Source organism: Homo sapiens, chromosome 7 (assembly GCF_000001405.40).
Source record: "Homo sapiens chromosome 7, GRCh38.p14 Primary Assembly".
Classification (NCBI taxonomy): Eukaryota; Metazoa; Chordata; class Mammalia; order Primates; family Hominidae; genus Homo; species Homo sapiens.
In genome coordinates this window covers 139841830-139867229 of record NC_000007.14, presented here as the reverse complement: position 1 = coordinate 139867229, position 25400 = coordinate 139841830, and the positions used below count along the sequence as shown (strand labels likewise).

General features: G+C 43.9%; 1 protein-coding gene across 9 annotated transcripts in view, besides 1 other annotated feature; it reads right to left on the bottom strand.

Moving 5' to 3' along the window:
* TBXAS1 (thromboxane A synthase 1) overlaps nt 1–25400 on the bottom strand; it is a 242052-nt gene that overhangs the window by 153064 nt on the left and 63588 nt on the right. The window lies entirely within an intron of this gene.
* Nucleotides 11327–11406: an enhancer, noted in NCBI's record as "active region_26770". NCBI's record gives its function as "activates an Ori minimal core promoter by ATAC-STARR-seq in GM12878 lymphoblastoid cells {active_cell/tissue: GM12878}" and the evidence as "EXISTENCE:reporter gene assay evidence [ECO:0000049][PMID:35858748]".

The following is a 25400-nucleotide window of genomic DNA, read 5'->3' as shown; positions in this document are numbered from 1 at the left end:
TTCCCTTGGCAAATAGCGCTTCTCCAGGGGTAAAAACTTGTGATGCTCCAAGAACAGGTGAAGCCCAGCGGTGCCAGGTAACCCAGTGTCCTGCACATTGGAGAAGAGAGGCCCTTTGCCATGGTTACTCTATGGTTTCAACACGCATGCCCTCATGGGCTTTGCCAGCAATTCCATTAAACATCATGGCCACATCGGAAGCTTTATTAGAAACAGATCCTTAAATAATTGCCTTTTCAAAACGTTTTGTTAAGAAATGGAAGCAGGGTGTGAGGTTTGCTGGCTTTCCAAGACACATTTTGAAGTGCTTCACAGAAATTTGGGCACAAAAGCTAGAACTATCAGGGAGAAAGCCTACTCTCTTTATATTGTCATTCTCTTGGTTTTTTTCACTGTGTATTTTTTATATGTTTGCTATTACATTCTCTCTCTATATTTTTCCTATGTCTCTACTTTTTCTTCTTTTTCTTTTTTTTAGCATTCTCACTCTGTTGCCCAAGCTGGAGTGCAGTGGTGTGATTTCAGCTCACCGTAGCCTCTACCTCTCAGGCTCAAGTGATCCTCTCACCTCAGCCTCCGAAGTAGCTGGGACTACAGGTGTGCGCAACCACAGGTGGCTAATTTTTTTTTTTTTTTTTTTTAGAAACAGGGTCTCACTATGTTGCCCAGGCTGGTCTCAAACTCCTGGGCTCAAGCGATCTGCCTGCCTCAGCCTCCCAAAGTGCCATGATTACAGGCAAGAGCCACTGTGCCTGGCTTATTTCTCTACTTCTATTTATCCAGATTTCTACTTTTTTCATTTAACATAAGGAAAAACATCTCCATGTTATTAATCCTTTATAAATATCATTTTTATGGCTGCTTAATAGTGCTCTTATATACATATTATAATTTACTAAACCATTCTTATTGTCAAATACTTAGCGTGTTTTCTATATTTTAGCTACTTTGAGTTATGCTGCTACAGTTAGCATTTCTGCGCAGAGGTTTTCCCACACTTTGTGCATGAAGATTTTCTTAACCTGAGATCCATGAGTCACTGGTTTTAAACACTGGTATGTAATATCTAATTGCTTTCCATAAAGTTTGTCCCAGCTAGTCCTACCGTTGGTATATCCTTTGCACCAAATGCTCTCATAAAACTTTTTTCTAATTTGTAAGCTACATCAATGTATTTTGATGTCTGCATCTATTTTCTTACTAGAGAGAGAAAACACATTTTCCTATCATTTCTTCTTCATTCTCAAAAATATTTCCCAATTTTTGACATTATTAACTAACTTTCTTCCCTTCTTCCCTTCCTTCCCTCCCTCTTTCCTTCCTTCCTCCCTCCCTCCTTCCTCCTTCCCTCCCTCCCTCCTTCCTTCCTCCCTCCCTCCTTCCTTCTTCCTTTCCCCCCTCCCTCCCTCCCTCCCTTCCTTCCTTCTTTCCTTCCTTCCTTCCTCCCTTCCTTCTTCCTTCCCTCCCTCCCTTCCTCCTCCTCTTCCTCCTCCTCCTCTTCCTCCTCCTCCTCCTCTTCCTCCTCCTCCTCCTCTTCCTCCTCCTCCTCTTCCTCCTCCTCCTCTTCCTCCTCCTCCTCTTCCTCCTCCTCCTCTTCCTCCTCCTCCTCTTCCTCCTCCTCCTCTTCCTCCTCCTCCTCCTCCTTCTTCTTCCTCCCTCCCCCTCATTCCCACAGTATGGTTTATCTAGGTGGCAGGCAGAATTGTGCTCCACTAACTGATTTAAAAATTAGTTGGAAAATGAGCAGTCATTGATAGGTACTGCAAGCTGACTCCACGCACATATCTGGGTGTGAAGAGGAAGATAAGCAGATAAATCTGAATAGTTTTCATTGACTTAGCTAATAACTAACCACAGCCTTGTTAGTTGACTGTAAATTCCATTCCCTTTATCCTTGTCCCATTTCTCACCCACACCCACAAGAGAAACTGTAAGGATTGAAACTGCTTAAATCACGCCTCAAGGCAGATGTTCCTGAAGGGTTGGTGGGGAAATGGTGCAATACAGATTTTACACGTGAGATCTTCTCGGTTTCCCTTTTAGCACCTAGTGTCCACCCTGGCATCCTCATCCTCATGTTCAGCCCCCTCTCCATTCCCTTAAGACCTCAATCTCAGTTTGCCCTCAGGGCTGGAAATCATCTGATGCACACTCACTCACGTATCAGTAGTAACTAGGCTATGCCCTAAAATACAACCTGCAAACGAGACTGTTCATTTACAAATTTATAATAGTGAGTATTTTTTTTCCAAGCAATAAGAATCGGACATCTCCTTCCTAGAGTACCTCCTTTCCAGGTACTTGAGAAGCCAAATCAATCATCAGAGGGTGTGTTGAGCCAGATTCTACAATGAGAGGTGGCTCAACAGAATCGGTATCTCAGTGGGACCCTGGTAAAATAATCCTGTCCCACAGCTGATTACATCCCTCCAAGGGGTTAGCAAAGGGATGTTGTGCCTGCTGCACTGCTCCCTTTTTCCCACTGATTCATAATGTCACTTCTATCATGCTCCTCAGTAGTATAGGTGCTTGGATCTATTCTGATCCATTTGTCTAGCTTATGCTTCACTATTTTAATTATTATAACTCTAAATCACACTCTTTGTTTTTTTCTCTTTTTTATATATTACTTCTTTTTATTCTCTTTTTTGTCTTTTTTTCTTACTCAAATTCCTTTTACCATATAATACATTTTTATAACTTACTTTTTCATATTAATTTTAGAATTAGTCTGATTTGATGAGAAAATGCTATTTGGATTTTTCTGGAATTGCATTAAATGTATACATTAATTTAGAACATACCAACATTATTACAACATCAATTTGTCTCATATATGAATGTGTTGTATCTCTCTGTTGATTTTATTTTCTCTGTCCTTCAGTAACATTTTATGATTTTGTGCAGAGAAGAGTATCTTTTTGCTATTTACGTACATTTGTTTTGGTGTTGCTCATGTATAGGAGCACCTTTTTTTTTTTTTAATGCCAGCGTTGTAATCAATGATCCTTCTGGACTTTCTAATTAGTTTTATTGGTTTACATGTGGAATTTCTTTGATTTCCTATGCTGATAATTATGTTTTATGCAAATAATATCAGTCCATTCTCTTTCTTTTTAATCCTTTTGTCTGACTTCTCATTTTCTTTTCTTATTACATTGGCTAAAATCTCTAGTACAAAAAGGAAGCAGAAAGAGTAAGCATCCTTTTCTTGTTCTTGATTCTGCAGGAATGCAGCTAATGTTTCAAAATTAAGTGTGAGGTTTTGCTTTAGAGTTTTCATAGATATCCTTTATTGGGTTGAAGATATTTCCTTCTACTCCTAGCTTGCCTGGAAAAGTTGTTCTTGATTAGTCGTGCTATGGGTTTATCTATTTTATTTATCTTTTGAAAGCACCAACTTTTTCTTTGTTGATCATTTCTGATTTTTGTTGTTTTCTAGTTCATTGATTTATGCTCATATTTTGATTATGGACTTCCTTCTATTTTCTTTGGGTTGAGACTTTGTTCCTTGTTGTTTTCTTTTAACTTCTTAAGTTATTAGTTTAGTTCACATGTTTTCAATGAACGCATTTAAAGCTATAAATCTTCCTCTAAGTAGTTCTTTATCTGCATTCTGTACATTTTTAATGTAGTGGTTTTATTGTCTGATAGTTGCATTCCAATAGGAAACTTCTGAATATCAATGTGCTATAAGATGTACACATGCAAACCTCAGGAGAACAGATATGTTGGAGTTACAAGACCTTCCTATTGTTTTTTCAATTCTGTCCCACCCTATATACAAGATTTAGTGAATGACAGCCATTATAATTTGTTGCCTAAGGAACCGCTTATAATCTTTACCCCTCTGGAAAAAAAATAGAAGACTACTCAATAAATACATAAATATCTGGCTGGTGTTCAGTTCTTTCACCAATAATGTAGGTACCACAAAGACATAGTCATTGCAGTCATTAGCCTGACAATAACTTTGTCACTGCACAAGAAAAATATATTATACATGTATATTGACATACAAGAGTTACACAATCATTACTATTATTATAATTTACAATAGTTTTTAGTTTCCTGTGTCTCAGGCACTATGCTTAGTACTTTTTATATACTGTCTTGTACAAGCCCTCCAACAATCACATAAGGATAGAAATAAATACCATTCTTATATTACTGATTAGGAAATAAAAGCTTAGAGAGGTAAATAATGTACCCAAGGTGCTGCTAAGCAATTGAGTCAGAGTTAAAACCAGGTCAGCTACATTTCAGACAAGTGCCGTTATTCACTAACCCTACTTACTGTCCCTTTCTGTCCCCTAGGCTAAGACTTTGTGGATAAAGCACAACATGAGAACATGTAGACAATATGCTGAGAACAAAGGCAGGCTGCTTAGAAACCAAAAGTGTATTAATAACATATACTAATGAACTGATGATTGTGATGAGAAAGAGAGAGACAGAGGGATTCTTTACCTATCTAAAGCCAATCTTGTTAGTTTTGCTCCTTGTCCTTACTCATTATTCTCAATTATTGTTCCTTCCTGTTGCATTGATTTCTCCATTTCTACTGGATCATTCCTATCAGCATACATATTCCAGTGTCTTCCATCTTAAAGGAAAAAAGGCAAACTCCTTGGATTTGGCCATTGCCTTATTTTTCTTCATTCCTTCCCAGTAAGTTTCCTTGAAAGCATTGTCTAGATGGCTTCCTCCCCTTCTGTGCCCTTAGTCTCTCCTCCCCCCACTCCAACTAAGCTTCTGTACCCACAGCTTCCTTGGGGCTGCCCTTGTCAAGATCATTGATGACTTTGATCTTATCAATCCCATTATTTCTTTACTGATCCTTCAGTAGGATTTTGATAGAGATGAACATTCCTCCTTCCTGAAGCACTCTCTTCCCTCTTTCCATGATACCACTCCTCCTGCCTCAAAGATTGCTCCTCACTGTCTTTGCTGGCTCCTTTCCTTATGTTGAGTCCCATCACTTCAATACCATCTAAAAGTCAATAATTCCACATCTTTAACTCTAGTTCCATTTTCTCCACTGAGCTCCAGTCCTCCTTACCCAACTTCCAACTTGATGGATGCTTTGAATGTCTGTTAGGCATTTTACAGTTAATCTAAATCTGATTTTAATTTACCCACTAAATCTGTTGTCTCCCAATCATCTCTACATCACCATTGCAACCACAATCCACCAACTTCTCAAGTCAGAAACACTTGAGACACAGTAGATTGCATAATGGGTTAAGACATGACTGTCCCTCCCAGTTGGAGGATTATACATCCCCACCTCATTTACTTTGGGCAACGTGATGCCTGGAAGCAGAGATTAAAGTAAAGCAACCGTGAACCAAGGAGGCAAGAAACCAATATTCCCCTGGATCCCCCAGAAGGAACCAGCCTGCCTGACACCTTGACTTCAGGCCAGCAAGACTGATACATGGACAATTTGCTCCATAAAATAATAATTGCAATGGACCAAAACACATCAAATATATTTTGAATCCATGAGTTCACAATAATACAAAAATAGCATGTGTTACCGTTGTCAGATGTTACGCACTTAATTCATGATACCATGTTTGGTACTTCAGCCATGTGAATACCTGTGCAAAACTTACATCCATTTTGAGACTTGTTAATTGAATCCTTTGCCATTAGAATTATTTTAAACAGGCCAGGCACAGTGGCTCGCTCCTGTAATCCTAGCACTTTGGGAGGCCAAGGCAAAGGAGGTCAAGGATCACTTGAGGTCAGGAGTTCAGACCAGCCTGGGCAACAAAGTGAGATCCAAAAAAAAAAAAAAAAAATTCTAAAAAGAAAAAAAAATTAGCCAGGTGTGGTGGTGCATGCCTGTAGTACTAACTACTTGGGAGACTGAGGCAGGAGGACTGCTTGAGCCCTGGAGTTCAAGGTTACAGTGAGCTATGATCGCACCACTGCACTCCAGCCTGGGCAACAGAGCGAGACCCTGTCTATATGTATAGTAAGTGTCTTACATAATAGATCAAATGCAGAATCCTGTCAGAAGTGAAGAATTTTTTTTTTTTTTTTTGAGACAGAGTTTCACTCTTGTTGCCCAGGCTGGAGTACAATGGCATGATCTCAGCTCACTGCAACCTTCGCCTCCCGGGCTCAAGCAATTCTCCTGCCTCAGCCTCCCAAGTAGCTGGGATTACAGGCATGTGCCACCACGCCCAGCTATTTTTTGTGTTTTTAGTAGAGACGGGGTTTCACCATATTAACCAGGCTGGTCTCGAACTCCTGACCTCAGGTGATCCGCCCACCTCAGCCTCCCAAAGTGCCGGGATTACAGGCATGAGCCACCGCCCCCGGCTGCGAAGGAATATTTTTAGGTAAACTTATATTTCCCAACTGTATTAATTTTCTATTTTTGTTATAACAAGTAGCCACAAGCTGAGGGATTTAAAACAACACAAATTTATTCTCTGACAGCTCTGGAGGCCAGAAGTCCAAAATCAACCTCACTGGTTTACAGGCAGGGTGTCCACAGGGCTGGTTCCTTCTGGAGATGGCAGGGGGTGTCCCCTTCTTGTCTCCCTGGGTCATGGTCATAACCTTCCAGTTCTGCTTCCAGTCCTCACACTGCCTTCTCTCGCTCTGACAACTCCTGTGTCCTTTTTATAAGGACCTCATGATTACATTTAGGGCCCACCCAAACAATCCAGAATACTTAACCCCTTTCATGATCTTCAACTTAATCACATCTTCAAAATCAGTTCTGCCATCTAAGGTTGCATTCACAAGTTCCAGAGGCTAGGACATCGACATTTTAGGGGGCCAATATTCAGCTACCACGCCAACTTATAGTGTATGTAGATCCTGATTTTATTTTGAAGTGTGCCTGAAAAGAAGAAGTGTCTGGGGTGGGGACTGTGAGTTACCCTGAGCTTCCTGTTTCTACAGAACTGAACAGTACATGGTACAGTTGCAGGGGGTGGGGTGGGGGAAGGCCAGCCGAGAGCTCACCCAGTACCCAGCCTCTGCCTTGGGCAGCACTGAACCAGGCTTTGGTAGCCCTACCACTGAAACAGCCAAGAATACATATTCTTTAGTTTTGTTGTTGTTGTTTTTGAGACAGAGTCTTCCTCTGTTGTCCAGGCTGGAGTGCAGTGGCACAATCTCAGTTCACTGCAACCTCCACCTCCCAGGTTCAAGCCTCATGCCTCAGCCTCCCGGATAGCTAGGACTACAGGCGTGCACTATTGTGCTCAGCTAATTTTTGTATTTTTAGTAGAGGTAGGGTTTTACCATGTTGGCCAGGCTGGTCTCGAACTCCTAACCTCAAGTGATCCACCCACCTCGGCCTCCCAAAGTGCTGGGATTACAGGTGTCAGCCACCATGCCTGGCCAAAGATAACGTTTTATAAAGAAAGTATTACAATTCTTTTAAAAAGGTATCTAGTTGATGGTTATTGTAATTCAGAGAGTTAACTAACTTCTCCATTTTTATCCTAACTTTTCAGGGCAAGAAAGCCAGTTGAGTCAGTAAGTCTCAACGAGTATTAAGGCCTTAATCTTCTAAATTCAGTTATTTGTATAGCCCCTTTATAATTTTGGCCATATCTGCAAGTTGCCTGTACATTTACTTATTTCCCAATTTCTTTTAGATAAATTGAAATGAATTCATTTTAAAAGGAAATTTTATGTCGTGATCATAAGTGAAAATCAGTATCACTTACATAAATTAAAAACTAATGATAGGCCAGGCACGGTGGCTTATGCCTGTAATCCCAGCACTTTAGGAGGCTGAGGTGGGCGGATCACGAGGTAAGAAGATTGAGACCATCCTGGCTAACACAGTGAAACCCTGTCTCTACTAAAAATACAAAAAATTAGCCAGGTGTGTTGGTGGGCGCCTGTAGTCCCAGCTACTTGGGAGGCTAAGGCAGAAGAATGGTGTGAACCCGGGAGGCGGAGCTTGCAGTGAACAGAGATCATGCCACTGCACTCCAGCCAGCCTGGGGTGACAGAGTGAGACTCCGTCTCAAAAAAAAAAAAAAAAAAAACTAACGATAAAAAATGAATGCTTTGGGCCGGGCACGGTGGCTCACGCCTGTAATCCCAGCACTTTGGGAGGCAGAGGCAGGCGGATCACCTGAGGTTGGGAGTTTGAGACCAGCCTGACCAACATGGAGAAACTCCACCTCTATTAAAAATACAAAATTAACCGGGCATGGTTAATTCTGGCGCATGCCTGTAATCCCAGCTACTCAGGAGGCTGAGGCAGGTGAGTCACTTGAACCCAGGAGGGGGAGGTTGTGGTGAGCCAAGATCACGCCATTGCACTCCAGCCTGGGCAACGAGAGCAAAACTCCTTCTCAAAATAAAAAATTAAAATTAAAAATTAAAAAATAAATAAATGCTTTATAATGAAAGATTTTTAAAGTCCGTGTACCTTCTAAAGTGATCTCACTCACCATTCACAGTCTATGGGACACTGCCAAGAAGACGTGACTCTCAAGGATGGTCCGAGGAAGACATAATCAAAATGTGGTCTGCAAGGTTGCTTGGGCTCAGCTGATAGTTCAAAACCATGGCCAGAGAGCAGATACCAAGCATGGTGCTGGGGGAGTGCTGAGTTCCGGGTACCAGGATGCTGCAGGGACCATGCCTACATGCCCTTGCTCTGTGGCACTTACAGCCTAGTGGACCAGACAGACATTCAATGGCTACTGACAAACAGTTAATTAAGCATTTACATTATGATCATTGTGGCTAAGAGGCATCCCCTGTCACCTGTCAGTCCCAGTTTAAATACATGCTTTCTATTTTGATCACTCTTCTGTCTGACTATTGGATATTTGTTGAGCCTTAAAAAACGATAAATGGTCTCCACTTATTATGTCCCCCAAAGTTAATCTGGAAAAAAACAAAAACAAAGCAGGACCCTCCAAGAAGGACCCATCCCCAGAAAAATCATTAAACTGAGAACAGAGGTGTCAAAGCTGGCACAATAAACGAGAGCCATGTTGTGGCACCATAGCAGGTGAAGGCACTGGAAAGGCTGCTGCCTTGGAACAGATGGGTCACCTGGAGGCCATGGGGCAGAGTGAGCATGGGGTTGATGTGTACGAAGAAGCACTGCAAAGAAACTGCCTTAAAATGGAGTGTGTTCTACTTTCTCAAGAGTGCTTTAAAATGCCCATCCCACCCCCAAGAAAATTCAGCCCAAGGCCAGGCGTGGTAGCTCACACCCATAATCCCAGTGTTTTGGGGGGCCAAGGCAGGAGAATTGCTTGAGGCCAAGAGTTCGAGACCAGCCTGGGCAACATAGCAAGACCCCACCTCTACAAAAAAAATTTTTAAAAATTGCCAGGTGTGGTGGTGTGTGCCTGTAGACCCACCTACTTGGGAGGCTGAGGCAGGAGGATCACTTGAGCCCAGGAATTAGAGGCTGCAGTAAGCTATGATCAAGCCACTGCACTCCAGCTTGGGTGACAGAGAGAGACCCTGTCTCTTAAAAAAAAAAAAAAAAATTAAGAAGAAAAGAAAATCCAGCCAGCCAATCCCAGGATTCTGACCCTGGGAAAGTGTCTTGCCCTTCTGTCCCAGTGAGAATTAAAGAAGAATGATGAAGGTACAGCAAACAGTAGTGCCACCATCCGAAAACACACACAACGTGTGTTTCTATTGTGAAAACAGAACAAAGCAACTGACGTACATCATAAAACTCTTGAAGTGACTGATATTTATGAAACACTTCAGGGGTGGCTTTTGTTTGTTTAAGTATTGGTTATTTGACTAAATTTAACCAGACAAAGTTCCTCCACCTTTCACCAGAAAAACCAATGACATATATCCATGCAGCATAAAACCTTCCCCCAAAAACTCTTTTATAGGATGGAGAGAAAAAAAAAGAGTAATGGCTTAGTTAAATGAACAAAGATAAATCTATTTAAACAGAATATTATATGATTATATATTTTAAAATGTAAAAAGCAGCCTCTTGTATCTGGTCCTTGAATTCCTTATGTGTCAGGGGACAGTAAGCCCAGATGTAGCATCCCACGGAAGCCCAAAGACAGCTTCCAGGGGCTGGAGAATTTGCCTCTTGAGTAGGATGTTTGCTTCTAGAACTTGTAAACTAAAAATAAAATCCTAAGCCCCCAACTGACTGAATGGACCATCTCTTGGCCAAGGGGTCCCCAGAGTAAACTTGAAAACTGAGTTCTTGGCCATGATGGGATGGGGAGTCAGACACACTCCTTCTACCCCTCCCTCACTAGCCATGATTATGCTTTCTCCCCTAAGGGCTAAATAGAAAGCGGCCTTTTCAAAGCCTCCATTGGTGTTGACGCCATAACGCCCTGAAAGCGTCTGATGTTAAAAGCCTCCACCGCTGACATCAACCTGCCACCTGATGCTGCCCCTTTCTTTTGCCTGATACGAGACCACCGATTATGGAGTGATTCTGGCCATTGTATGGAGGATGCTCAGTGAGGGTTTTCCTGTCCTTTGCTTCACTTTTTGAAGTCAGAGGCTCGAAAACTCCACCCTCAGATTATGCTAAGGCTGCCATTTTTTCTACATGGGACCCATGAAGGCGCATGACGCTCAATTGCGCATGCACATGTTTCTCCTTTCATAAATATTCATGACTCCTCCCATAGCTTATTGAATATGTATATTTGGCCTCCCTGCTCTGCATAAATTCCCATTCCCTTTTCCCCTCCATCAAAATATCTTCCTAGCCTGTCGGAATGGCCACCCGAAGGCCGCAACCCTTTATGAGAAATAAAGCTCTCCTTTCCAATTTTATGAACCTCATCCCTCTTCCATTGACACACTCATCCCTCAGTTCTGAGTTCTGTGTCCTGGCCCATGAGAACGCCAAGTCAGTGGAATCACAGGCAGTTTCTTGGTTCTAGAGACGCAGGTCACCCAGGCTGCATTTTGCCTGGTGGAAAAACAACTCGATCACCCCAGATTAGCAGGAGCATTGCCACAAAACATTTTAAAGGACTCTCGCTCCCCCTAGAACAATTAAGGGTTGAAGCCACAACCCTGTAGTCCATTTCTGTCTCTCTGTCTGCCAATTAGTAGACTGGGCCTCCCCGATAATTGTGATCTCAAGGTAATGGCTTAAGTAATTGATGACGTTGTCCTCATTGGGGGATCTTAGCACATCAAAAGAAGTTGAGAAAGCCAAAATTCACCTCGAGTCTGAATTAATCACTTTGTCGAGCACAACAAAGGCTCTCTGCTTTGCTAATAATCCCAGATGAGGTAGCAACCCTCAGTTAAATAAGGAAACTGTGGTGTCTTTAATTAATGTTTCAAAGCGCTCAGACTTGCTTTTTTCACTCGCTTTATTTTTATGAAAATGGAGGCTAGTGAAGGCAAAGCAGATATTTTCTAAACTTCTCAAGTTCAAGAAGAATGAGGCCTGGCTTCATTGTAGCTCACAGAAAAGGATCTGGGGGCTCTGGTTGACCACAGGGGCAGTCTGTCGTTGCCTAGGTCAGAGGAAGTTAGTCCCAGTGTATGGCTCCAAATGCTACCCTGTGGTCTTAGTACTTCCCCTTGCTCCAGATATGGCTTCTGGGACGACAAAACCTCCCACTTCCTCCTAGCACTGCTGAATCAGCCTTTCTAGGCTGCAGCTCAGAAGCCAGCTGCCTTCTAGCCTGCTCTCTGTCTGACATTCTGATCTCAAATTGTCTTTCATGAGGCCCACTTCACCTGGCAGCCCAAGCCTCCCCAGCCTCCTGACATCCCCCACTCTGCTTGACCTTCACCTTATCCCTTTCACTACTTCCCAAAGCCCCAGGGCAGCCCACGCCTGACATCCAGTCACACTTCAGGCTTCAACTCAAGACCGTGGGGCCAAGTCAGAGCCCCAGGTTCTGTGTGTTTAGAATGGGAGTTTGAACACATTGCTGTGTTGGTCTGATCCCAGCTACACAGCCATCTTTAAAAGGACTTTGATACCTGTCTTAGTTTGTTTTCTGTTGCTTATAACACAATACCTGAACCTAGATAATTTATAAAGAAAAAGAATTTATTTCTTACAGTTATGGAAGCTGAGAAGTCCAAGGTTAAGGAGTTGCATCTGGTGAGGGCCTTCTTGCTGGTGGGGACTCTGCACAGAGTCCATTTATGATAGCTTTGCCCTCATGACCCAGTCACCTCTTACAGGCCTCACCTCTCAACACTACCACATCGGGGATTAAATTTCAACATGATTTTTGGAGGAGACAAACATTCAAACAATAGTAACACCCCTAAGGCCACTTGAAAGCCAATGAGCAGGATGCGGAGGTGTGAAAGCCACTTAATGCAGTTCAAAGATACTTACAGAGTAGATATCATACAAAAATGAATAAGATACATCCTAGCCTCCAGAGAGCTTATCCTACAGAAAACAGGAGAACTAAGGGTTTACCTTGGACTTGGGGAAGCTGAAATCACTGCCTTCACATGCTTGTTATCTTGTCTAATAAACCCCCTTGGCTTCTAAATTGATGACCATCTTTGAAACTTCATGCTATCTTTGGGTCTTTCCTTTGATCCTCATCTGCAGTCAATCACCAAGTTCTGTCAACTCTGCCTTCAACACATGTCTTGAGTGAGTTCTTCATTCTTACTCCTAACTGGCACTGCCCTATATCAGGTCGTCGTCTCTCCCTTGGGCATAGAGTTTTCAGTAGGGTCCTGAACTGGCCTCCCAGCCTCTAGCTTCTCCTATCATCCTCCAATCAGTCCTCCACACCAATGCCAGAAGAAGCTTGCTCATATGCAAATCTCATCATGTTGCAGCCCTGCTCAGAATTCTTCCTTGGCTCCCTGTCACTTTCAGTTCAAGCACTAACCTCCTTTATTTGGCACCTAGGGTCTTTGGTGATCCGGCCACAGCTTGACTGCTAGCCTCACTGTAAGTCATCTCTGTCCCTAAATTAGGCTTGGGCAATCTTGCATGACTCACACGTTCCTAGTTACGCCATGTCGTTTCACCGTTCTGGGCTTTTTCCCAGGCTTTTCTCTAGGGCCAAGACAAAGGAGAGGCAAGAACAAACCTAGGGTACAAAATTTAAGGAGGTCCTCACTCTCAGGGCTGTACAAGTGCCACCCCTGCTCTTGTACAACCCTGAGAGTGAGGGCCTTCTTAAATTTTGGGCCTAGGTGCTTGCTTCCTTCTCTCACCCTTGTCCCAGCCCACTCTCCTCTCTGCTGATGCATCCACTCTTTCTCCATTTGCAAAGGCCAGATTGCTCTTCGGCTTTCTGCTCAAGGGTTGCCTCCTCCAGGAGCCCACCCAGGCTATCCTGGGCACATGGAGATGTTTTCCTTGGCCACTCAAAGAGTTCCACTGATTCCCTACTGGGGATGATTGCCAATGAAGAGCAGGAGAACACAATGTATTATTTGTAGGAATCTAATCCTGTCTACGTTCATTATTTACTGTACCTGATTCTGTTTCCATCATGTGGGCTTAGTCATCTGCAGTTAATCCTTTGTTTTTATGAAGTCCTTAAAGAACCCCTGAGACTTGTGGTGAAAGAGGGACATCTGCCTCCGGTGAACCCCAACAGATAGTTAAATTAGAGCCCAGAGGGGTCAGCTGGGGCTGCCCCTGCCTCTGGATCCTGCGTAATAAAAGGAAACAGTTACAGGATGCTTCCTGTGAGCCAGGAGCCCGGCTGAGTGCTTCCCACACATGAGCTCATTTACTCCTCCCCAAATTCTGTGTGGAACATGCTGTTATTATTATCTCCGTTTTGCAGATGGGAACACTGAGGCTCAGAGAGATTAAGTAACTGGCCCAAGGTCACACTGCTAGTGAGTAGCACAGCTGAGATTCGAACCCAGGCTGTCTGGCTCTGGAGTCTGTGCTCACCATTACCAGGCCCTACTGTTTCTCACTTTACATTTGCAGAGCAGCCAGTTGCCCAGAATCCAACCTATCTGTAAGACGGGGGATGCGAAAAGCCCCTGTTTGTTCAAGTCTGTGGGTTGAGGGCTCTGAGTCCCCTGTGAAAAGGCAGATGCCATCTTACAGGACGCTATCCCCAGGGTTCAAATCAGTTGATCAGATTAGCCACTAAGTCAACAGGGCTTCAAGACTTGAAATAAGGACAGATAAATCTGTCATTATCTCCTCTGCACAGACCAGGTCTTCACTTCAGTAAAGTTTGAGCCCAGAGGGGTCAGCTGGGGCTTCAGTAAAGTGAAGACCTGGCTTGTGCAGAGCAGACAGGTTGCTTCTTTGGCCAACTGTGTGTGTGTGTGTGTGTGTGTGTGTGTGTGTGTGTGTGTGTGTGTGTGTGTGTATTGGAGTAGCCAAGGTTGGTACACAGGGGCATTGAGTACTGGTAGTGGGTGCTCAGAATAATTCTAGGTTCTTTTGTACCCAGCCGAGTAGGCATTTAAAAAATGTTTGCCAATTGGATAAGAAGTTATGTCTTCATAAACCCAGCCAATATTTCCACCTTTCTATTGCACTATGACCCGTCCAAAAGGCCTGGGAAATACCAATTTTGCCTTTGAGCTTGGCAGACAGTTTAAAGAGCTTGGGTAACTCAAAGTAACAAAAGAATATTGTTAAGAGTTTCAAAAAAATATTTATAATCCCCTTGCATCATGTTTGTTCCTGTAATCCCCCAGATCTTTGTCTTGACCTAATTCTTAGCAAGTTTAGCCACTGACCTTTGATCATCTCTTAGCTATAATGATCAATTGTGGGTCTAGCTGGAAATTGTACAGGACAAAGTCAAAAGGCAAGAGTTCTAGTCCAAGAGCCCTGAATCTCAGTGCCCGTTGTTCCTCAGTGTGTTTGCTTCTGGCTCTCACCTCTCTGGGTTCTGGAACACAGCCACAGGTGGAGACCCACAGAACCTGCCTGACCTTCCGAACAGACCACTTTTCTGGGTTTGGCCTCTTGCCTGCTCCCTGCAACTTATAATCCCTTCCATTATTAGAGTCCTCAGTCCTGACCCTGCCTGGTCCCAGCCATTCCTATCTCAGCACCTATATTAGTTATCTACTGCTGTGTCACAAATTGCCCCCAGACCTAAGTGACTGAAGACAACAAACATTCATTATCTCACAGATTCTGAGGGTCAGGAGTCTGCGAGCAGATCAGCTAGGTGCTTTGGGTTCAGGGTCAAGCTGGAGAATGGTGTCCATGCTTGCTTATGGAGCTGTAGCTGGCTTTGCCATATGAGCCTCTCCCTATAGGGCTGCTCAACATGGCTGCTGACTTCCCCAAAGTAAGCAATCCAAGGGAGAGAGCGAGCCCAAGATGGAAACCCCAGTCTCCAATAATCTAATCTTGGAAGTGATAACACCATCACCTCTGCTGTATTCCACTGGTCATGCTAACTGACCCTGGTACAATGGGGGAGGGAGCTATGCAAGGGTGTGAATTCCAGGGCAAGGATCCAGAGGGCCCTCTTGGAGGCTGTCTACCACATCACCTGTGCCCTATTGTGAACAAATGTGGTGAAATTACATCCTTTTCCAAAGTTTCACCTTGAGTGTATCAAGCTGGTTACTAAGCCTCATAAAATCTGTAAGCTATTTCCTCCTTTGATTAGATATTGAAACAATGTAGTTGTTCCATTCTTTATTCCATAAAAATATATTTAGTGCCTACTCTGTGTCAGGCACTAGCCCAGATGTCATTGTGCATCACTAAGAGAGTAGATAGGATCTGCCATGCTTTTACTGGAAAAGAAAAATCAGGGAAACTTCACCCTGGGGTGGATAAAAATGGATTTAAAGATTTCAGAAAACTGTATGTTTAATAATAGCTAACATTTATTATTAAGCACTTGCTATGGGTCAGGCATTGTACTGACCCACAAAATAAAATTATAAACACACTTTATAAACATCATGTCCTGTAATCTCTACCAACATCCCTGTTGTGTGCATTATACAGATGGGGAAACTGAGACTTAGAGCCCGGCCACAGGAACTGGCCCAGCCACAGTCCAGGCCTCCTGAGCTGTCTGAATGAAGGGCCTGAGCCTCCAGCCAGGCCTCTGGCTTGTCTGTCAAGTGAAGATTATTGCAGCTAAGAGATGATCAAAGGCCAGTGGCTAAACTTGCTAAGAGTTAGGTCAAGAAAAAGATTTGAGGGTTACAGTAACAAACATGATGCAATGGGATGCTTTGGCTCAGTAAGGCCAATGGGATGCTTTGGCTCAGTAAGACCAACGGGAGCAAGGAGACCAGACTAGTTACCCAGGGCTTCTCTAACAAATTGCCACAAACCGGGTGGCTTAAAACAACAGAAATTATCCTCTCATCATTCTGGAGTTCAGAATTCTGAGGTCAAGACATCAGCAGGGCCATGCTCCCTCTGAAGACACGAAGGGAGCTCCTTCCTTGCCTCTGTCCATCTCCTGGTAGTTGCTGGCAATCCATGGTCTTTGGCTTGTAGATGCATCCCTCTAATCTCCGCCTTGGTCATCACAGTGTTCTCGCCTGTGTGACTATATCTACATGTCGTCCTCCCTCTGTCCATCTCAGCATCCAAATTTCACTCTTCTTATAAGGATGCCAGTCACTGGATTAGGGACCACCGTCATCCAGTAGGACCTCATCTTAACTTGATTACCGCTGTAAAGACCCTATTTCCAAATCAGGTCACATTCAGAGGTTTTAATGGACATGAATTTGGGGGCGAGGGGACACTACTCAGCCCAGTGCAAAGACCATCAGAACTGACAGAAGTCCCTGGAAAAGGCCCAAATAATACCCCATGTGTGGGTGTGGGTGGGGAAGGATCTTCCACACCACCCTAGGGTCACAGAGGATGTGAGATGGAGAGAAACTGACCTTGATGAAAGAAGACACTAATTCAAAAACTTCTTTTTTCATGTTGTGCTTTGTTTTTCTATTTTGTTTTTGCTACTTATTGTTATTACACTAACTAGTCTATATTTTAGTTGTTTCAGTCAGCACATCTTTTTTATAGGAAAAAAGGAAATGGGATTTTGTGGCTGATTCTGGATTGCAAGAAACCTCCCTGTTCAGATTCCAGAGCAACTTACTGGAGGTGAGTGGACAAATGTGCAGGACGAGAAGGAGCGTGGAGGCAAGACAAGTGTCTCTTTTTATCTTTGAGAACTCAAGTTAAATTCACGATGTGTAATAGCCCTTGTGATACATGGATACACCCTTTCTTCTGACAGCCACTAGCCAGCACCAAAGGGTGGTTTCCGGAAGGGCAAGAAATAAACAAATTTTTTCCTTAATAACCCAGAGGACTTCCAGCACCCATGAGAATATTTAAAACAATTCTGGAGCAATTTATGTTTTCAGCCATATTCCTTTCTTGGCATAACAACATCCATAAATTTACTGCCCAGCATAGAACAATGAATTTGTCCTAAGCAATACAGCTCACAATCTACAAGAGTGTCCCCTGGTTGCTGTATTTCAGGACATGGTGAACAAGCTGCGCTTTCTGCATTCAGGTTTCCCCTGGTCTTCTGAACTTCAGACATGCCTCCCCTAAGTCCTGCTTTTCCAGGGTGGAGTTGAAATCTTAGGGCCCCGCCCCATCCCATCCCCCAGATCAATTCTTTGCCCTTCCTAGAGTGTGCTCATGCTCCGTCATCAGTCAGACCCTTCCCTCTATTGCTTATTTGGCTAGAAATTCCTAGGTACGTCCCCAGGTTCGGCCCAGGACCAACCTGGCCCCTACACTGAGCTCTGGACCCTGCTTCAACACTCTTGAAGCTAGGTTATCACTTCATAAGCAAGATCACCATGACCCACCATGTCAGTGTCTCAGTGGGAAAATTCTGCATCACTATCTGTTGTTTCTGTTTTTTGGTGGGTTGTTTTTTTTTTGTTGTTTTTTGTTTTTTGTGTTTTTTTTGGGGGAACAGGGTCTTTGCTGTTGGAAGTGCAGTGGTGCGATCTTGGCTCACTACAACATCCACATCCTGGGCTCAACTGATCCTCTCACCCCAGCCTCTTGAGTAGCTGGGACCACAGATGCATGTCACCGCACCTGGCTAATTGTTGTATTTTCTGTAGAGACGGAGACTTCCTATATTGCCCAGGCTGGTCTCGAGAATTCCTGTGCTCAAGTGATCCTCCTACCTCAGCCTCCCAAAGTGAGCCTCCCAAAAGAATTATAGGTGTAAGCCATCATGCCTGGCCTGTTGTTTTTTTTCCCCCAGAGAGTCACTGTTTTCACTTACAATAAAAGTTAATATGTCCATTCACGTTAAGTTTTTGTTCATTTATTTATTTTTTTGTTATGGTTTTATTTTGTCTTGTGACTTGTGGCCCCTAGATTCTATTTTGCCAAAGATCAGAATCCAGCTGTGTAATCTTGGAGCATGAGGTAGAGTGAATCACTGCTCCTGATGCTTCATGCCCCATCTGTATCAAAATTCTACATCAATGCCCCTTGCTCCATGACTGTGCAGTGCCTCCCGCTACAGTGGACAGAGTCTTCTTCCCTGCCCCATTAATGTTAACCTTGGGCATGTGGATTGCTTAGCCAATAGAATGTGGGCAGAAATTATCTTAGCAGCTTCCAGGTTGAGGCCTCAAGAGATATTACTGTTTCATTTTACATTTCTTGCATCCCTGTGACCTGTCAGGAGCAGCACTTCCCTAATATTCTCTTCAGCCTGGGTCCCATTACAAACATGTGGAGCAGATCTAAACCCCACTGTCAGACTGGAACAGAGCTACTCCAGTGAACATACAGACCATGAGAAAAATAAACATTGTCATTTGCCAATGAGCTTGGGGTGGTTTGTTACACAGCATTATTGCAACAGTAGCTGACTAATACACATCAGATCACATAACTTCTCTGGACCTCCATATTCACATCTGTAAAATGGGGCCCTGGCATTATAATCAATGATGCACAACTTTTTTTCTACCCCTACGTAACTGACAGCTTTGACATATACCCAAAATTAACAGAATCAAATGTTGCAAAGCGGCCAGGCATGGTGGCTCATGCCTGTAATCCCAGTACTTTGGAAGGCCGAGGTGGGAGGATCATTTGACCTCAGGCGTTTAAGACCAGCCTGGGCAACATAGCAAAATCCTGTCTTTACAAATAAATAAATAAATAAATAAATAAATAAGTAAAACATAAAATTAGCCAGGGATGGTTGCATGCACCTATAGTCCCAGCTACTTGGGAGGCTGAGGTAGGAGGGTCACTTGAGGCCAAGAGCTTGAGACCAGCCTGGGAAATATAGCAAGACCTCACTCTACAAAAAATTTAAAAATTAACTGGGCATGGTGGCACATGTCTATAGTTCTAGCTACTTGAGAGGCTGAGGTGAAAGGATCACTTGAGGTCAGAAGTTTGAGGCTGCAGTGAGCTATGATTGCACCACTGCACTTCAGCATGGGTGACAGAGCAAGATCCTATTTCAAAACAAACAAACAAACAAACAACAAATATTGCAAAGTGCCAAAGAAAGAGAAGGATTAGAAACTGTTAATTCAGTTTAGGTACTAGAGACTTAATGGTGGCCTTGAAGAAAGCCGTTTCAGTAGAGAATGGAACAGAGACCTTATTGCAGGGGTCGGGGGTAAATAGGAGGTGAGAAAGTGAGCAAATACAAAGTCCTCTTTCAAGTCACTAGGCTGGGAAGAGAAGGATAAGTGGAGTGGTGCCTGGGGTGGAGTCAAAGAAGAGGCGGTTAGTGAGTTGGTTGGTTGATTGGTTGGTTGGTTGGTTGGTTGGTTAGTTGGCTGGCTCAGTTGTTTGTTTTATGATAGGAGAGAATTGAACCTGCAAAGAAACATTTGCAGTGACACCATCATTGAAAATGATGTGGGTAAGGGCTTGGATGAGAGTGAGCAGGAAACAAAAGATCTGGTCAACAGGCGAGAATAGAGTATGGCTTAGCGGGGCTTATTTACTGATGTGCTATGCCTCATTGATACTTCAAGTTCTCAAGTCCAAGGGCAAGGCAAATGTCAACCAATGAAGCAAAGACCAGATGAAAATTAGAATGGTACTCTTACTGTTAAAATCAGAAAATAAATGTAAATTTTGTCATGGGAAAATTTGAAAAATTTCTGGAAAACAAATTGAGTTTAAAGCTTGATTTATTGTGCACTTTTCAAGAAATAGATTTTCTTTAATTTTGAAGCACCTACAACTGAGAGGTAAACAGATGCCATCAATGGACTAATAGCAATATATGTTGGTGTAAGGTTTATTGCTCACAAACCCTCATACTCCCTTTCAAGGAGACAGGGAGAGAATGACTATCTCCGCTTGACCGTATGGAAAAGTGATCAAGCCCAGAGAGGTGGCTGACATCTCTGACCTTCTTCAAAGAAAAGCCCACAGTCTTCTTTTCATCTGCCCTCCCACCCCATCATTTCTAAACCTGCCGCACTATGGCTCTGTCCCCACCACACCATTGGTGACCATCCCCAACACCCCCGAAGACACTTCAGCTTACTAAGTCTGATACGCATTTTTAAAACCTAATTTTACTTGTTCAAGGTCAAAAGCTACCTAGTGGTATAAGTCCAGGATTATTCAAAATGAGGTCACTTGTTTGAAGTACGCCTCTCCTCACTTTTCACTGCAGTGCATTCCTGGGGATCAGGTGAGAATTCAGAATGAGGTTTACAAAATAACTAGATAAACAAAATAAAAACCAAGATCTAGCTGCCCAGCGTCTATGCAGTTTTTGTTGAATATAAGCGTGCAGTTATCAGATAACACTAAGAGCTAATGTTTATTGACCCTGAGCTGTGCCATGCACTGCTCTAAGTCCACCTTATGTTCTTACTCATGTAATCCTCCCAACATGCTAAGAGGTAGGTACTATTAGTATCCCTATTTTACACATGGGGAAACTGAGACACGGAGACCTGACATCTATTGCTTAAGGTCACAAGGCTAGCCAGAGTTTGAATCCAGGAGATCTGATTCCAAAGCCTAAGCCCTGGGCCATTATAGAAAGTGTGGAAAGGCAGAAAGAGTGAAGTGTTTTTAGTGCGTTTTCAAGGGATCGTTGATAAACTAGCAAGCTGCCGAAGTGCTCGGGAGTAGTTTATTTTCCTAAATTGGTTGAGCTGTCACCTTTGCACAATGATTTTGGTTAGCAATCCCTTCCTTCATAAATAGCACAGAGATGAACTTCAACCCACAGCCCAGCCTAGCCTGACTTCTAAAGAAAAAAATATTTTATTAAGATCCAGAGTTCCCAGCCTGGGCAACATGGAGAAACCCCGTCTCTACAAAAAAATACAAAAAATAGCCTGGGGTGGTAGTGCTCGCTTGTAGTCCCAGCTACTCATGGGGCTGGGGTGGGAGAATTCCCCGAGCCTGGGGAGGTTGAGGCTGCAGTGAGCTGTGATTGTGCCACTGTACTCCAGCCTGGGCAACAGAGTAAGACCCTGTCTAAAAAAAAAAAAAAAAAAACTAGAGTTCAATTTAATGATATTTTGTTATATGACAAGTCAGGGTGAAAGCTGGTTGCAGTGGCACACGGCCAGAAATTAATGGAAATTCTCTATGATGATACCCATAGCGGCAAAGAACAATGCATATGCCACACAAAATCCTATAGATCATCTCTTCTAACGCAGTTTGGTTCAACAAGTAACTGCGTGCCTATTACTCAACAGAAGTGTGTTGAGTGCCCCTGGCACAATGCTGAGTGCTCAGCTAAAGATGAGGAAGGACCAATCCTGCCCTTGGGGAGCCAGGTAAGTGATGAGAGAGAGGGAAGGTACCAGGTACATTGGGGCAAGAACCTAGGAGATGCAGAAGAGGCTCCTGGAGAAGTTCTCACCCAAATGAAGGGGGAAGGACATGCAAGTAGAAGGAAAGAAATTGGCACTGAACTGCATGGTGTGTGGGAGGAGCTGTGAGCACCTGGGAGCCAGGCACCAGGTGAGAAGCGAGGGGAGTTAAACCTGCAGAGGGGCAGGGGACCAGGTCAGAGGGGGCTTCAGGAGCCAGGCCAGGAACACTCACTTCCTTAGACAGGAGGACCAGGAAAGGGTTTTATGCAGAGGAGCAGTGAGCCGGTGGCTGCAGTTGCAGGACAAATTAGGGGAGCACAAGATAGAAGGCAGGGAGACCCGTGGGAAGGCTATTTCCAGCCAAGGAGTGATTTTGAAGTCCTCAACTGCAGCAGAAGCAAAGCAGATAGAGAGAGGAACACTTGGGAGTCAAGACTGGCCAGACTGTGGAGGGTTAACATTAGGGTGAGAGCCAAGAAAGATGTGAGGCTGATTCCCAGCATAGCCTGGGGGGCTGGGGGAAAATGTGCCAATGCTGAGAGGCAGGTGTCCCAGCCCTCTCTCACCAATGAGGAAATGAGCAAGGAGGGAGTGGCTGGCCCAAGGACACCCAGGGAAAGAGGTGTGTCTGTCCCTACACTGTAAAGGCCTGGCTGATTTCCACAATGCCACACTTCTCCTGAGAACCTCCCAATTATCTCCTTAGGTACGCTCTTAGATCATGAGATGATGCTACCAATTTTGCTCACTCTCTGTGTACGGATGGAGTTAAAATCCTTAAATGTACAACTGACTACACTCCCTCTTCACTGCTTTACAGCCTGGGGTTCCCAGGTGCCTACTGATTTGTGAAGGTAGGAAGAGGGTACATGAGATATTTTCAATATTTCAAAGAGCCTAATGTAAATCGTGCATTTATTGACAACGCGATGGTGGTGCAGGTTAAGGAAAATGTCGAGTTTCTTTGCTTTGGAGTGGAATTATAATTTGGTACACTAATGCTGGTTATCTCATTGATCAGCTATTCTCAACTGGCAGAGTTTTCCAATTAGCTTGCCTTTGAATAATTAAAATGGGAAAATTAATCAATCATTACTTAAATATACATTGTTGCTGGGACAACAGAACATAGGATCTATGGGGAAAAATCACATCAACAGTGGATGGTAGGGAAGAGTTGAGATACCATTGCTTCAAACTGTGGGGATTTGTGCTCAATAGAACAGTGAAGGAGAAAGTGTCTGTTCTTCAATGCCTCTGCTGGGGGTTGGATGCCTCCTGTCCCCTAGTCTGGTGTCAGGATACCCCACTCAGACTTTGAGTGCTCTATATACCCCCATGTACCACGTATTCTAAGTGGCTGGGTCCTGCATTCCATCATCCCCTCCTTTTACAGTCTTGCTCTTCAATTTCAAATGGGGCAATTCCTCTATCTATCTGAATTCATGGGAATGTTATCCATAGCACACCAATGAGGTAGAACCAGCTCACAGCCTAGAAAACCTTCAGCATTCGACGATTGCATGAATCAAGATTTATTTCCCTTTTCAATAAGCCTTGTGCAAGGCATTCTGCCAGGTGCTAAGAACACACTACCACTAGTGTGCAATTAGGGGGAGACTGATTCTACCCTCTTCCATACACAGGCATGCACACACACACACACATTGTCACAGTAATCATTTGGAAACAGTGCTGCTATCTCGGTTACCAGAGGCATAATCATGATCATTAGCATTTACTGAGCAGCTACTATGTAGAGGGCACTCACTGGCTTAAGATGTGGGCCCTCCTCTTAGGGACTTACAGTCAAGCCAAGAAGATAGGTCACATGCATAAGCTATAAAATAAAGTGGGCCGGGCACTGTGGCTCATGCCTGTAATCCCAGCACTTTGTGAGGCCGAGGTGGGCGGATCACCTGAGGTCAGGAGTTCGAGACCAGACTGGCCAACATGATGAAACCCCACCTCTACTAAAGATACAAAAATTAGCTGGGTATGGTGGCACGCACCTGTAGCCCCAGCTACTCAGGAGGCTGAGGCAGGAGAATCACTTGAACCCGGGAGGCGGAGGTTGCAGTGAGCTGAGACTATGCCACTGCACTCCAGCCTGGATGACAGAGTGAGACTCCATCTCTAAATAAATAAATAAATAAATAAATAAATAAATAAATAAAGTAAAGTAGTAAGTGCCGAGATAGCCAGAGAGATAGGAAGCAAGTCCACAGGAGGCAGGGCTGGTTGAGGGCTGGCCTGATGGAGGAGACCTTTATGGAAGAGTGACATTTAGACAAGATTTTGAAGGTTAGGCAGGAGTTCAGTTAAACCAAGAAGGGAGAGCATTCAGGCAACAGGGACTGCGCTGTGCAGCTTGGAGGGAACAGGCATGTCAGTGCAGGAAGGAGGGAAGCACATGCGAGGACTTTAGGGCACCTTTCAGATCAGAATGTGGAGGCAGCTGCTGGTTTCGGGGTATGGCGCTGGCTCTCCCAGGGGGTCTGTGTGCAGTGCTCAGGGAAACAAGGCATTGGTGGAAGCCACTATTGGTAGAGCTTGGCTTTGCTTTCAGATCATCTCTGACACAGTTTTTTCTAGATATCTTCGAGGGGAAAAAAGGGGCCGGCCTCTTTCTGAGATTGTGTTGAGGAACTGGCTGACTGCTCAAGCGAAACCTAAGAAGCACACCTTTGCAAGGACATAGGGGAGGTTTAGGAGGGCCCCACAGCGCGGGCCAGGGCCAAACTCTGCACTGAGGGCTGAGGCTGAAAGCAACAGAGAGAGTCGAGGGCTCCAGGGAACTCCCCTATCAGCTAACACCCCCCTACCCTATCCACCAGGAAGTTGTGCAACAGCACCTATTTCTGGTAAACCAGGAAAGATGTGGCTCTTAGTAATTGAAGCACCAATGAATACCAGTGTGAACATCTGCCCCCTCCCTTTCTCGCCAGTCTCATTCCCATGTCCAGATGCATGTTATTCCGGCAACCAAAAAACAAGTCCATATAAGGCTACCAGGGTTCCCATAGACCGCGTACTTCCCTTCAGTGGCAAGCGATAGTTGTTAGGTTTGTTGTTATTATGGCACTAGGGTTAGGGGAAGAGTTCATTCAATCATTTTATTTCTGGGAGAGTCACTTCCTTCCCGGGAAGGCATCGCTGAGCACCCACTCACGCAGCTCAGTAATGGACACACATCAATCTGATGTTTTGCTTTGTTTATACAACAAATAAGATTCTTCTTTCATCTCTGCCCCCAAAACAGATGCTACCAGAAGCCTGAATTCCTTACTAGACGAGAGAAGGTATGACCATAAATATTAAGACTGTTGCTATTGTTTTCTTTAAAAAACAAAACCAAAACCAAAAACCAACTCGTATGCCAGTGAGCGTGGCCCCTCAGCAAAATTCCCAGGCTTCCAGAACTGGTTCATACACCTCTTCTGCAAGCTGTGTATTGTTTTATAATCACATTTTTAAAATTGCAAATAATATTACTCTGTTTAATCATCTATTTGCCAAAATATGGACTGTTTTTTAAAAAAAATCAATCTATTCTCCACAAAGATGTGTTGCGTTGAGGGCTTTCAAAGGACCACATCTAAGCACCAAGTGCCATTCCCACAAAAAGTGCTAAGAATGTGTTTTCTGATAGTGGCATATCTGCAGTA